The following is a 14,586-nucleotide window of genomic DNA, read 5'->3' as shown; positions in this document are numbered from 1 at the left end:
ATATAAAATGTTAATATAAATATGTGTTTATATTTCTGATCACCAACTAAGGTTATATTATAGAAAGAGAATTATTGGGCCAATGTGGATAAGCATTTTAAAGGCTATAGGTATGTGGTACCAAACTGCTTTCCAGAATTATTCCATCAATTTATGAACACATAGGCAATGTGTTAGCATATTTCTCACCACTATCAGCATATTATTAATATTCTATAAATGTTTGCTAATTTGGTAAGTAGAAATGATATTTTATAATTGACCTTTATCACATTTCCTTGGTAAAGCTAAACTTTTTCATATACTAATCAGCTTTTTCTTTTTCTTTTTTTTTTTTTTTTTTGAGACGGAGTCTCGCTCTGTCGCCCAGGCTGGAGTGCAGTGGCGGGATCTCGGCTCACTGCAAGCTCCGCCTCCCGGGTTCACGCCATTCTCCTGCCTCAGCCTCCCAAGTAGCTGGGACTACAGGCGCCCGCCACTACGCCCGGCTAATTTTTTGTATTTTTAGTAGAGACGGGGTTTCACCGTTTTAGCCGGGATGGTCTCGATCTCCTGACCTTGTGATCGGCCCGCCTCGGCCTCCCAAAGTGCTGGGATTACACTAATCAGCTTTTTCTACGTCTTTCTTTTGTGAACTGTTAGTCCAGTTTCTTTGCATATTATTTCATTGAAGCATTGGTGTTTTTATTATCAATATGTATGTTTTCTTTATTAATTTATTAACCTTTTTGTGATGTAGTTTTAGTAAATATTCACTCTCATTGTGTGTGCACTTCAATTTAGTTATATTTTTGACACCCATTAAATTTTAAATTTTTAGATGGTTAATTTGATATTTAATTTTATGATTTTTTCTGATATATAATTATATATTTATATTTGTAAATGTGTATTTGTAAATATATATAATTATATATATATTTACAAACATTAGGTTGAAGGACATATTTAAATGCTTTTCTTTCATGTATATTTTTTTCAGTTGTAAAAACATAGCTACTCATTTAGGCCTCTGTAAGATATAGAAGGCTTATTTATAAGTTAGGAAGATAAAGAGGACTTAATGATAAAATTAGTACTGGAATAGATCAACATAGACATCAGGATCTCAGGAAGATCTAGCAATCTTTTTCATGATCTTCCCCTGGTGGAATCTTATTTATCTCTAGGTATTAGATCCCCCTTATAACTTTGACTTGTCATAGTCCCTCATGGCTTTGATTTAATTCAGTCTTTTTCTCTTTACATATACTTTTAATATCAGATCCTATTGCTAACTGGCCATGGGTCTGTGTTTCTCTATTTAGATTCCAAAGAGTATGGTCAAGTTAATCTTTATATACGAGGCCTCCCTGCAGATTCTTGGTCAACATATGGATTTGCTGTCCATTAGTTGGAATCCTCTCTTTGGGTGATTGGCTGGAGCAAGGAGGAAAGAGGTGGTGGTGTCAGTGAGTCAAGCTGAACAATAGTTGTCATTGGCTGGCATTTCATTCATCTCTAAGAATGAAATGTGGATATTGGAGTCCTGTGACTGACTTTGCTGTGAAAAAGCTGTTGCAGGTAAGAATGTAATTAGGCATTCAGGAGCTTATAGTACTAACCTCAGCTCTGCTGCCAACTAGCCCTGGATCCTTATACTAATGTCTTAACCTCCCTTAAAGCACAGTTGGCTCAGCTGACAAGTGTGATGGTTTTGTAGTCTTTAAGGTCCATTCCAATTCCAAAATGTCTACAATTCTTATATATAATATTTGACAATTTAATAAAAATGTGAGGTACTTCTCTCTGCTCTGCAAAGTTGCTGGCTTTGATGAGTAATCAGAGTATTGCCATCACTTAGCTGTGAACTAAATGAAGTAATGTATTTCAGAACACTTAAGACCTGATGTATTTTAAAGAGCTAACATCCAAGAGAAACATGTGCAGAGTTGACAGTCCTTGGTTGATTACAAGGCAGTTGAGTTAATAATGTTTTATGAGCAACCTATTTTTATTTTAGTTATTCTTTTGAACTCAATACTAAAATTTTCCAAATTCCAAACACAATCTTAAATTAAAAAATTAATAATGTCAACAGAAAACCTTTTAAGGACCAGATTGTCATTTGAGGTTATTAATGCTAGCTTTACATAAAAACAACTGTCTGATTTCACTAACTTAGCAAAATTACTGTTCATTTATGGGTCATACCACAGTTTACATATTTAATAGATGGCCTTTTGCATGACGGTTGAGGGATCCTGGCTCTTTTCATCTCGTGGTACTGCTGTCTCCTAGGCCTCCTTCAGATTTCCACATAGGTTTCTTTGCTTTTAATTGGCAATAGGCAAACAGCAAGTGAGAGGGGACTCTTGGCCAGTCCTGGAAGAAGATATGAAATACTTCCATTCTCATTCTTTGACAGAGCCCAGGAATATGGTCCTGTCCAAATTGCAAGGGAGGCTGGAATATGTAATCTTCCAATGTAGCAAGAGGAGGATGCAGGGTTGCTAACATCTAGACAGTCTTTGCCATAATTGGTAGAATGTGAAATATATGCTAAAATGAAAAATCAAGGAACCAAACAAAATGAAATTTCCATTTTTTCTGGCTGAATCGATAATAGTGAAATTGTCAAAACAAATTTTCATATAGAAATACAAAAATTAAGATAGTTTTGGGTCATTCTTTTTCATCATAAAAAGTCAATAAAGTTTGCACCAAATAATTACATTTAGCAGCAGATTTTGGTGTTATTTTTCCCAAAGTAAATTATTTGTTCATTTATTCTTTAAAACTGAATTTTAGGTTTCAGGCAAATTAAGGTAACAAATGGCTCAGTAGAACACTAAGAATTTTTGCATAATATTACTTTTGTACACAGGAATCAGTCACATTTTCAGAGATTTTTTTCTTAGTTTCACATAAGAAACCTAACAATAAACTATTTCTTTTATCTTCTAGCTTCATTGAAAGGACCACACCAAATGAATCATGACATTCCTCAAGGCTGATTTTCCCCCTTTCTTCTCCTTATACTCATCTTCCATTCACTCTCCTGTATAAACTATTCTTGTTTCTATTTTCCTCTTCTGCCTTTATGAATTTTTTAAAGATTTTCAGTAAACTCAGTAACATCTTTTCCTTCAGCTATATTTCTGTTCCCAGTACTGTTATGACTTTACTATCAGTTATACTTATCCAATAATTCAGAGTATATTGAAAACTAGAACTTTCATTAGTGTTAATTAGATGACCTATACACATTCTTTCGTGCACAGAAAATATTGTTGCTTGAATACGGGAGTACGTTCGAAACATATTCAGTTGTGTCATGTTCTGCCATGTTATCCAACAACAACAAAAAACAAGACTAAAATTCTACTAATTTGAAATGATTTTAATTTTTTACAGTGTTTTGTTTTCTGACTGATAGACCAATATATGTATTACATTCCTTTGTATTCTGAGACACAACTGTTTGGGTTCTGAAGACAACATTCTTTTACTTCAAATGCTTGACATAGTGCTTTCCTTTAACTGGATAGCCTAGAAATAGTAGCTTGTATCTCTTTTTTCTTCAGATACAACCATCACCTTCTTTCAAAAGTAAAATATAAAGCTGCTTTTCCGTCAGCATGGTTAGAAATTCATTTATCGATAAATAGTCTTTCTTAGGTTCTCCTCATTCTGTCACAATAAATCATCAACTATTTCAAAGAATATTACTATTAAAATATTTTTAAAATAATAATGGTTGTTATGGATACTGCTAAGTGCTCTACATTGTGGAATAGTGTATTATTGTGAGACTATCAACCTTTAACCCTATTAAGACTCTATTTGGGAAAAATATTTAAAAATTTGCATTTCGATATGAGTTGAAAAATTCTGGATAATATAATCAGATAGTTTATAATGGAATAATTTTGAATCGAACTTTTTTTTTTTTGAGATGGAGTCTCACTCTGTTGCTCAGGCTGGAGTGCAGTGGCAAGATCTCGGCTCACTGCCAACCTCTGCTGCCTGAGTTCAAGCGATTCCCCTGCCTCAGCCTCCCCAGTAGCTGGGACTACAGGCACATGCCACCACACCTGGCTAATTTTTTTGTATTTTTAGTACAGACAGGGTTTTGCTATTTTGGCCAGGCTGTTCTTGAACTCTTGATCTCAGGTGATCCGCCTGCCTTGGCCTTCCAAAGTGCTGGGATTACAGGCGTGAGACACCATGCCTGGATTTGAATTGAACTTTTGGTGAAAGAAAATATCGGTATAAAATTTACAAAGTTTTGTTATACCAATAAATAAATCCACTGGCTTATTCCCTTTTTAATTTAAAATCAGTAATGTAATGATTTTTATAAAGGACTTACACTAAATGAACACCTACTAAGAAGCATTGTTTATCTTGCCTATAAGATCATAGGCAATAATATACACCTTCCTTGCCACCACATTGTTATATATAGTATGTATAAATAAGTATGGACAGCCATATGATGAAATGCTAATTAACCAATAAATAATAATTGGTAAATTGGCTTGCTAATGTGGGAAATATACAATATATATCTATAATATAGGCAGTAATTACAAGTGATTATTTCTTTGTGGTTTTCTGTATTTTCATCATTTCTGTTTTAACTATGTCACGTTTGTAATAACACAAAATGATAAATGTAGTTGGAAAACATACCTAGTCACAGAAATGGTATAAATATAAATAAGTATAATACTTTAAAGAGGTACAGATCTATTAAAGTGTACTGTTTCAGAGACTTCAGGCTAAGTGCTAGGGATGCATTATCTCTACCCTCAAGAAGCCTGTTGATTTGTAGCTAAAATGTTAGGGTAATTCAAATGAGGACAGATTATTTTTGATAGTATCCCAGACACCAGGTTCTTATGAAACCAGAAAGCCTGGAAGGTCATAATACACTTAAAAAACCTCAACTCCCTGTAAATGACATCAAAGAAGCATCTGAAAAGTATTAGAGCTGGAGAAAAATACTCAATTTGAGAATTTTAAAAATGGTTAGACTAATAGAAAATCCATTTTTGTATCATAAATATAATACTTGAAGAAGAAAACGAAGCTTGGAACTGGTACTATTTCAAACACTTGTTTTAAATAATGGAAGTTTATAGTTTATAAATATTGAATTTCTACTACACTTTAATATAGTGTATTCTCTTGGATATAGACCATTCATTATAGGGCATGTTCCCATGTTTCCAATTTCATTAGAAGCTAAGAGGACTTCCTGTGTTCTATGGCTGTGCCACGTCAAGAAGGTGGTAGAGGCTGGAGCAGTGTTAGCTGTCACTGTTCTCTCTTGGTGATGTAGACTAGATGAAGGTTTCTTCTTTAGTGGCCACTGGAAGGCTGGGAATGTGAATGAAGGACTGTCAACTGTATTCTTTTGGTGCAATAGTAGAATATTAACTTGGAATTTTTAAGTTTTAAAAACAAAACAGTTTTCACAGAAAAGTAAAAGGGGATATATAGCTCATCCCCTATTATCCTAACTTATTATCCAGTGGGTAGGGATTTGTGTAAAATTATAATTTTAAATGTTTCATGAGGACCTAGAAATTTCTATTTCCTGCCTAAAAATAGACTTCTCATGTCTTCTACGGCAAAGGTTTTTAAACATGGCAATTAAACATCAATTAAAGTGATTCAAGATTGTGAAATGGCTGACTTAAAAACAATATTAGCACATACAGCTGGGATGCTGGCTTACCTGAAGACAGAGCCATGGCATCCATGATTTGGAAGTTCAGTGATTCAATAAAATAGATTTCATTTACTTGGTAATTTTAAACATTTTAATTGTTTTGATGTGTGTAGACTTTTACAACATTTTGTTGCTTCTCTCAGCGATATGACCTGAATTTACCTTTTTCATGTAGATGCATAATCAATTTAATTTCCAGACGAAAATGGATAGTCTTTTGGATTTTCTGCCTAACATACAGGTTGGTAAAATTTCTGTCAAAGCATATGAGGATCAATATAAACCTCTAAGTGTTGTAGTGTGAATAAGAAGTGACTCACTTGCTTTTAAACTAAACTCTTTGTAATTGGACTTTTTCTCTATGTTTTTTAAGGTCTACAGTGAACCACCCAATAATGGTGCTTCAATATGAACTTCATACAGGTTATAGTCTTCAGAAGGGATAGTAATATATGGTTGCAGGTAGAAAGAAAGGGACTAGCCAAATTATACCAAAAGCCCTGTGTTTCTAGCAGAAAAAAAGCAAAGAAAAAAGTTACCACAAAAAATAAACTGGAACATGTGAAGGTAATTGGTCAAAAATTTAACAGTAGCACAGACATGGTATGAGAAAACACTTATGAATAATTGGGTGTTCAAACATTTGGCTAAGGATAAACATAGAGAAGCAATCTGATTAGACATTTTGCTATCAGTATGACAGCAAACAAATGTTCTTACCAAACACTCTTTTTAGCATTGTAGAATTGATATATCCTATATTGTCCATTTTAGGTTATATTATATTTACTATGTGTATTTGAGTGTGTGTGTGTGTGTGTGTGTGTGTGTTTATTATAAGACAGATTATATAGATAGATGATAGATAAATAAATACATCAATAGATAAATAGTTAGATAAAAAATCAGGCTGTAAAGTTGAAAACGTTGAGAAAGGACTCTGGGACATTGGTCTGGGCAATGATTTCTTGAGTAAGACCTCAATAGTACAGGCAACCCAGGCAAAAATGGACAAATGGGATCACATCAAGCTAAAAAGCTTCTACACAGCAAAGGAAATGTTCAATATGCAAAGAGACAACTTACAGAGTGGGAGAAAATATTTGCAAACTACTCATCTGACAAAGAATTAATAACCAGAATATATAAGAAACTCAAACAAATCAATAATGATAAAAACAAATAATATGATTAAAAAATGAGCAAAAGTTCTGAATAGACGTTTCTCAAAATGAGACACAAATGGTTTTCTTTTTCTCGTTGAACCGTTTTTCATGATAAACATGTCAGGAAATGGTGAACAGGTATATGAAAAAATGTTCAACATCATCAGTCATCAGATAAAAATCGAAACTACAATGAAATATTATCTCACACTGGTTAAAATGGCTTTTATTAAAAGACAAAAAATAATGAATGCTGTCAAGTCGGGGGACCTCTAGTGGTCAAGTGTTCAGTAGGATAAGAGGGCAACTATAGGTAACAATAATTTATTGCATATTTAAAGATAACTAAACTAGTGGACTTGGAATGTTTTTAACACAAAGAAATGATAAATGCTTGAGGTGATGGATATACCAGTTACCCAGATTTGATCATTACACATTGTATGCTTACATCAAAATACTACATGTACCCCATAAATATGTATAACTATTATGTATCTATAACAATTAAATATTTTTTAAGTTAAAATATATTTTTTATATTTAAGAGTAAGCAGAATAACTATCATTTTTCTGGGTTTCTTGGAGGGTCTCCCTGCAAAATCAAATGATATTCCTAATTTTTTAGGTTCTAAAAATTTATGTTTTAGGGATTTATTCCTCAGACCTAATATTCTGCCTTTTAGCCTAGCAATTTCACACCTCACTGTAAATCAATTTGCTATAAGTTTTTTCTGCTTTTGCATATCCAGTTAATTCTCATGAAGTGCCCTTTCCCTTACTCCTGTCTCCCACACCTAATGTTTCTAGACCTGGTTCAAATGTCTTTTTCAATTCAAAACCTTCCTTGAGCTATCTAAATGAAGTTGATAACTTACTTCTTTGATTGTGTTTATGCAGAGTATTTAACCCTAATTATTGTGTTCATCACATTAAATTGCATTTATTTTGTACCTTTCTCTCCATTAGACTGTGAATTATTAAGGATATATCTTCTGCCTTATATGCTTGATAACTCTAGCATCTGGTATTTGGTCTTACAAATTGTTCACTGAATGAATACATGATAAAATGAGTTTGTGTCGGCAGTGAAGGGGGAAGCTTTAAACCTTGAATGTCTGAGGGAGAATTCAAGGGGAGCAAGGTGAAGGAGAAAGATACCACTGTGGGGGGAGGAGCCAAGATGGCCGAATAGGAACAGCTCCGGTCTACAGCTCCCAGGATGAGCGATGCAGAAGACGGGTGATTTCTGCATTTCCATCTGAGGTACCGGGTTCATCTCACTAGGGAGTGCCAGACAGTGGGTGCGCGCACCGTGCGCGAGCCAAAGCAGGGTGAGGCATTGCCTCACTTGGGAAGCGCAAGGGGTCAGGGAGTTCCCTTTCCGAGTCAAAGAAAGGGGTGACGGACGCACCTGGAAAATCGGGTCACTCCCACCCAAATATTGCGCTTTTCAGACCGGCTTAAAAAACAGCGCACCACGAGACTATATCCCACACCTGGCTCAGAGGGTCCTACGCCCACGGAATCTCGCTGATTGCTAGCACAGCAGTCTGAGATCAAACTGCAAGGCGGCAGCGAGGCTGGGGGAGGGGCGCCCGCCATTGCCCAGGCTTGCTGAGGTAAACAAAGCAGCCTGGAAGCTCGAACTGGGTGGAGCCCACCACAGCTCAAGGAGGCCTGCCTGCCTCTGTAGGCTCCACCTCTGGGGGCAGGGCACAGACAAACAAAAAGACAGCAGTAACCTCTGCAGACTTAAATGTCCCTGTCTGACAGCTTTGAAGAGAGCAGTGGTTCTCCCAGCACGCAGCTGGAGGTCTGAGAACCCGCAGACTGCCTCCTCAAGTGGGTCCCTGACCCCTGACCCCCGAGCAGCCTAACTGGGAGGCACCCCCCAGCAGGGGCACACTGACACCTCACACGGCAGGGTATTCCAACAGACCTGCAGCTGAGGGTCCTGTCTGTTAGAAGGAAAACTAACAAACAGAAAGGACATCCACACCGAAAACCCATCTGTACATTACCATCATCAAAGACCAAAAGTAGATAAAACCACAAAGATGGGGAAAAAACAGAACAGAAAAACTGGAAACTCTAAAACGCAGAGCGCCTCTCCTCCTCCAAAGGAACGCAGTTCCTCACCAGCAATGGAACAAAGCTGGATGGAGAATGATTTTGACGAGCTGAGAGAAGAAGGCTTCAGACGATCAAATTACTCTGAGCTATGGGAGGACATTCAAACCAAAGGCAAAGAAGTTGAAAACTTTGAAAAAAATTTAGAAGAATGTATAACTAGAATAACCAATACAGAGAAGTGCTTAAAGGAGCTGATGGAGCTGAAAACCAAGGCTCGAGAACTACGTGAAGAATGCAGAAGCCTCAGGAGCCAATGCGATCAACTGGAAGAAAGGGTATCAGCAATGGAAGATGAAATGAATGAAATGAAGCGAGAAGGGAAGTTCAGAGAAAAAAGAATAAAAAGAAATGGGCAAAGCCTCCAAGAAATATGGGACTGTGTGAAAAGACCAAATCTACGTCTGATTGGTGTACCTGAAAGTGATGCGGAGAATGGAACCAAGTTGGAAAACACTCTGCAGGATATTATCCAGGAGAACTTCCCCAATCTAGCAAGGCAGGCCAACGTTCAGATTCAGGAAATACAGAGAACGCCACAAAGATACTCCTCGAGAAGAGCAACTCCAAGACACATAATTGTCAGATTCACCAAAGTTGAAATGAAGGAAAAAATGTTAAGGGCAGCCAGAGAGAAACGTCGGGTTACCCTCAAAGGGAAGCCCATCAGACTAACAGCGGATCTCTTGGCAGAAACCCTACAAGCCAGAAGAGAGTGGGGGCCAATATTCAACATTCTTAAAAAAAAGAATTTTCAACCCAGAATTTCATATCCAGCCAAACTAAGCTTCATAAGCGAAGGAGAAATAAAATACTTTACAGACAAGCAAATGCTGACCGATTTTGTCACCACCAGGCCTGCCCTAAAAAAGCTCCTGAAGGAAGCGCTAAACATGGAAAGGAACAACTGGTACCAGCCGCTGCAAAATCATGCCAAAATGTAAAGACCATCGAGACTAGGAAGAAACTGCATCAACTAACGAGCAAAATCACCAGCTAACATCATAATGACAGGATCAAATTCACACATAACAATATTAACTTTAAATGTAAATGGACTAAATTCTCCAATCAAAAGACACAGACTGGCAAGTTGGATAAAGAGTCAAGACCCATCAGTGTGCTATATTCAGGAAACCCATCTCACGTGCAGAGACACACATAGGCTCAAAATAAAAGGATGGAGGAAGATCTACCAAGCCAATGGAAAACAACAAAAGGCAGGGGTTGCAATCCTAGTCTCTGATAAAACAGACTTTAAACCAACAAAGATCAAAAGAGACAAAGAAGGCCATTACATAATGGTAAAGGGATCAATTCAACAAGAGGAGCTAACTATCCTAAATATATATGCACCCAATACAGGAGCACCCAGATTCATAAAGCAAGTCCTGAGTGACCTACAAAGAGACTTAGACTCCCACACATTAATAATGGGAGACTTTAACACCCCACTGTCAACATTAGACAGATCAACGAGACAGAAAGTCAACAAGGATACCCAGGAATTGAACTCAGCTCTGCACCAAACGGACCTAATAGACATCTACAGAACTCTCCACCCCAAATCAACAGAATATACATTTTTTTCAGCACCACACCACACCTATTCCAAAATTGACCACATACTTGGAAGTAAAGCTCTCCTCAGCAAATGTAAAAGAACAGAAATTATAACAAACTATCTCTCAGACCACAGTGCAATCAAACTAGAACTCAGGATTAAGAATCTCACTCAAAGCCGCTCAACTACATGGAAACTGAACAACCTGCTCCTGAATGACTACTGGGTACATAACGAAATGAAGGCACAAATAAAGATGTTCTTTGAAACTTACGAGAACAAAGACACAACATACCAGAATCTCTGGGACGCATTCAAAGCAGTGTCTAGAGGGAAATTTATAGCACTAAATGCCCACAAGAGAAAGCAGGAAAGATCCAAAATTGACACCCTAACATCACAATTAAAAGAACTAGAAAAGCAAGAGCAAACACATTCAAAAGCTAGCAGAAGGCAAGAAATAACTAAAATCAGGGCAGAACTGAAGGAAATAGAGACACAAAAAACCCTTCAAAAAATCAATGAATCCAGGAACTGGTTTTTTGAAAGGATCAACAAAATTGATAGACCGCTAGCAAGACTAATAAAGAAAAAAAGAGAGAAGAATCAAATAGACACAATAAAAAATGATAAAGGGGATATCACCACCGATCCCACAGAAATACAAACTACCATCAGAGAATACTACAAACACCTCTACGCAAATAAACTAGAAAATCTAGAAGAAATGGATACATTCCTCGACACATACACTCTCCCAAGACTAAACCAGGAAGAAGTTGAATCTCTGAATAGACCAATAACAGGAGCTGAAATTGTGGCAATAATCAATAGCTTACCAACCAAAAAGAGTCCAGGACCAGATGGATTCACAGCCGAATTCTACCAGAGGTACAAGGAGGAACTGGTACCATTCCTTCTGAAACTATTCCAATAAGTAGAAAAAGAGGGAATCCTCCCTAACTCATTTTATGAGGCCAGCATCATTCTGATACCAAAGCCGGGCAGAGACACAACCAAAAAAGAGAATTTTAGACCAATATCCTTGATGAACACTGATGCAAAAATCCTCAATAAAATACTGGCAAACCGAATCCAGCAGCACATCAAAAAGCTTATCCACCATGATCAAGTGGGCTTCATCCCTGGGATGCAAGGCTGGTTCAATATACGCAAATCAATAAATGTAATCCAACATATAAACAGAGCCAAAGACAAAAACCACATGATTATCTTAATAGATGCAGAAAAAGCCTTTGACAAAATTCAACAACCCTTCATGCTAAAAACTCTCAGTAAATTAGGTACTGATGGGACGTATCTCAAAATAATAAGAGCTATCTATGACAAACCCACAGCCAATATCATACTGAATGGGCAAAAACTGGAAGCATTCCCTTTGAAAACTGGCACAAGACAGGGATGCCCTCTCTCACCGCTCCTATTCAACATAGGGTTGGAAGATCTGGCCAGGGCAATCAGGCAGGAGAAGGAAATAAAGGGTATTCAATTAGGAAAAGAGGAAGTCAAATTGTCCCTGTTTGCAGACGACATGATTGTTTATCTAGAAAACCCCATTGTCTCAGCCCAAAATCTCCTTAAGCTGATAAGCAACTTCAGCAAAGTCTCAGGATACAAAATCAATGTACAAAAATCACAAGCATTCCTATACACCAACAACAGACAAACAGAGAGCCAAATCATGAGTGAACTCCCATTCACAATTGCTTCAAAAAGAATAAAATACCTAGGAATCCAACTTACAAGGGATGTGAAGGACCTCTTCAAGGAGAACTACAAACCACTGCTCAAGGAAATCAAAGAGGATACAAACAAATGGAAGAACATTCCATGCTCATGGGTAGGAAGAATCAATATCGTGAAAATGGCCATACTGCCCAAGGTAATTTGCAGATTCAATGCCATCCCCATCAAGCTACCAATGACTTTCTTCACAGAATTGGAAAAAACTACTTTAAATTTCATATGGAACCAAAAAAGAGCCCGCATCGCCAAGTCAATCCTAAGCCAAAAGAACAAAGCTGGAGGCATCACACTACCTGACTTCAAACTATACTACAAGGCTACAGTAACCAAAACAGCATAGTACTGGTACCAAAACAGAGATATAGATCAATGGAACGAACAGAGCCCTCAGAAATAACGCCGCATACCTACAACTATCTGATCTTTGACAAACCTGAGAAAAACAAGCAATGGGGAAAGGATTCCCTATTTCATAAATGGTGCTGGGAAAACTGGCTAGCCGTATGTAGAAAGCTGAAACTGGATCCCTTCCTTACACCTTATACAAAAATCAATTCAAGATGGATTAAAGATTTAAACATTAGACCTAAAACCATAAAAACTCTAGAAGAAAACCTAGGCATTACCATTCAGGACATAGGCGTTGGCAAGGACTTCATGTCCAAAGCACCAAAAGCAATGGCAACAAAAGCCAAAATTGACAAATGGGATCTAATTAAACTAAAGAGCTTCTGCACAGCAAAAGAAACTACCATCAGAGTGAACAGGCAACCTACAACATGGGAGAAAATTTTCGCAACCTACTCATCTGACAAAGGGCTAATATCCGGAATCTACAATGAACTCAAACAAATTTACAAGAAAAAAACAAACAACCCCATCAAAAAGTGGGCGAAGGACATGAACAGACACTTCTCAAAAGAAGACATTCATGCAGCCAAAAAACACATGAAAAAATGCTCATCATCACTGGCCATCAGAGAAATGGACATCAAAACCACTATGAGATATCATCTCACACCAGTTAGAATGGCAATCATTAAAAAGTCAGGAAACAACAGGTGCTGGAGAGGATGTGGAGAAATAGGAACACTTTTACACTGTTGGTGGGACTGTAAACTAGTTCAACCATTGTGGAAGTCAGTGTGGCGATTCCTCAGGGATCTAGAACTAGAAATACCATTTGACCCAGCCATCCCATTACTGGGTATATACCCAAATGACTATAAATCATACTGCTATAAAGACACATGCACACGTATGTTTATTGCGGCATTATTCACAATAGCAAAGACTTGGAACCAACCCAAATGTCCAACAATGATAGACTGGATTAAGAAAATGTGGCACATATACACCATGGAATACTATGCAGCCATAAAAAATGATGATTTCATGTCCTTTGTAGGGACATGGATGAAATTGGAAACCATCATTCTCAGTAAACTATCGCAAGAACAAAAAACCAAACACCGCATATTCTCACTCATAGGTGGGAATTGAACAATGAGATCACATGGATACAGGAAGGGGAATATCACACTCTGGGGACTGTGGTGGGGAGGGGGGAGGGGGGAGGGAAAAAAAAAAGATACCACTGTGTACACTGAGATGGAATTCACTTACTTAGAATTTCATTTAGAGCTGACCCTTTGTGCCAGCGACAACCTGAGCTGAGCTTCATGTACCTAAAGCCAGGTCCCGGATTTGCAACTGGGGCTGCTGTTTGCAAAGCCCATGGGAGATTTTTGACCCTTAGAGTCCTCTGAAAACCTTTTCTTAGGAGTTTTTTTCTTGTTACAACCACCTATTATGATCTATCTCTTGTGATAATTTCACAGAAGTCTTCACCAAATTGTTTGTTCAATTAATCCTTGAAGAATTTTTTTTTTCATGGACAAATAGATGGTTTCAAAATATTGAGAAGTTAAAAAAATAGTGTTGCATGTAAGAGGAGAAAAACTGCATTTTATACATATAGATCTGAATGGAGAGGTAATTTACAGGAGTTCTTCAATTTAATACTGGTCAATGTCAATAGATACAACTGTGCTGTCATATTGGGGTGATCAAGGTAAAAGTTTCAGAGTGGATTTAAAAATGGCTGTTTGTAAACATGTAAAAATAAATCTGACATGATTTTTTTCTGTTGGAATACTTCATCTGGAATTAAAAACCTACCAGAGAGATAAGTAATTTTAAACCTATTTAAGTGTAATTTATAAATAGACTCT

At 37.1% G+C, this 14,586-nt stretch overlaps 1 long non-coding RNA gene across 1 annotated transcript in view, besides 1 other annotated feature; it reads right to left on the bottom strand.

Annotated features, from left to right (window-relative positions):
- Positions 1–3,365: 3,365 nt before the first annotated feature.
- The window catches only part of CXXC4-AS1 (CXXC4 antisense RNA 1), a 206,628-nt gene continuing 195,407 nt past the window's right edge, over positions 3,366–14,586 (bottom strand). Inside the window, exon 10 of the long non-coding RNA NR_125926.1 lies at positions 3,366–5,367. This is a non-coding gene — a long non-coding RNA (CXXC4 antisense RNA 1). The remainder of the gene's footprint in view (positions 5,368–14,586) is intronic.
- Positions 8,293–8,853: an enhancer, noted in NCBI's record as "NANOG-H3K27ac-H3K4me1 hESC enhancer chr4:105613262-105613822 (GRCh37/hg19 assembly coordinates)". NCBI's record gives its function as "activates a minimal SCP1, AML or CMV promoter by ChIP-STARR-seq in primed H9 embryonic stem cells {active_cell/tissue: H9 hESC(primed)}" and the evidence as "EXISTENCE:reporter gene assay evidence [ECO:0000049][PMID:30033119]".

The sequence above is a fragment of the Homo sapiens genome, chromosome 4, assembly GCF_000001405.40.
Source record: "Homo sapiens chromosome 4, GRCh38.p14 Primary Assembly".
In the NCBI taxonomy this organism is placed as follows: domain Eukaryota; kingdom Metazoa; phylum Chordata; class Mammalia; order Primates; family Hominidae; genus Homo; species Homo sapiens.
Note: the sequence above shows the minus strand (reverse complement) of the source record. Positions and strands in the feature narration are given on the sequence as shown.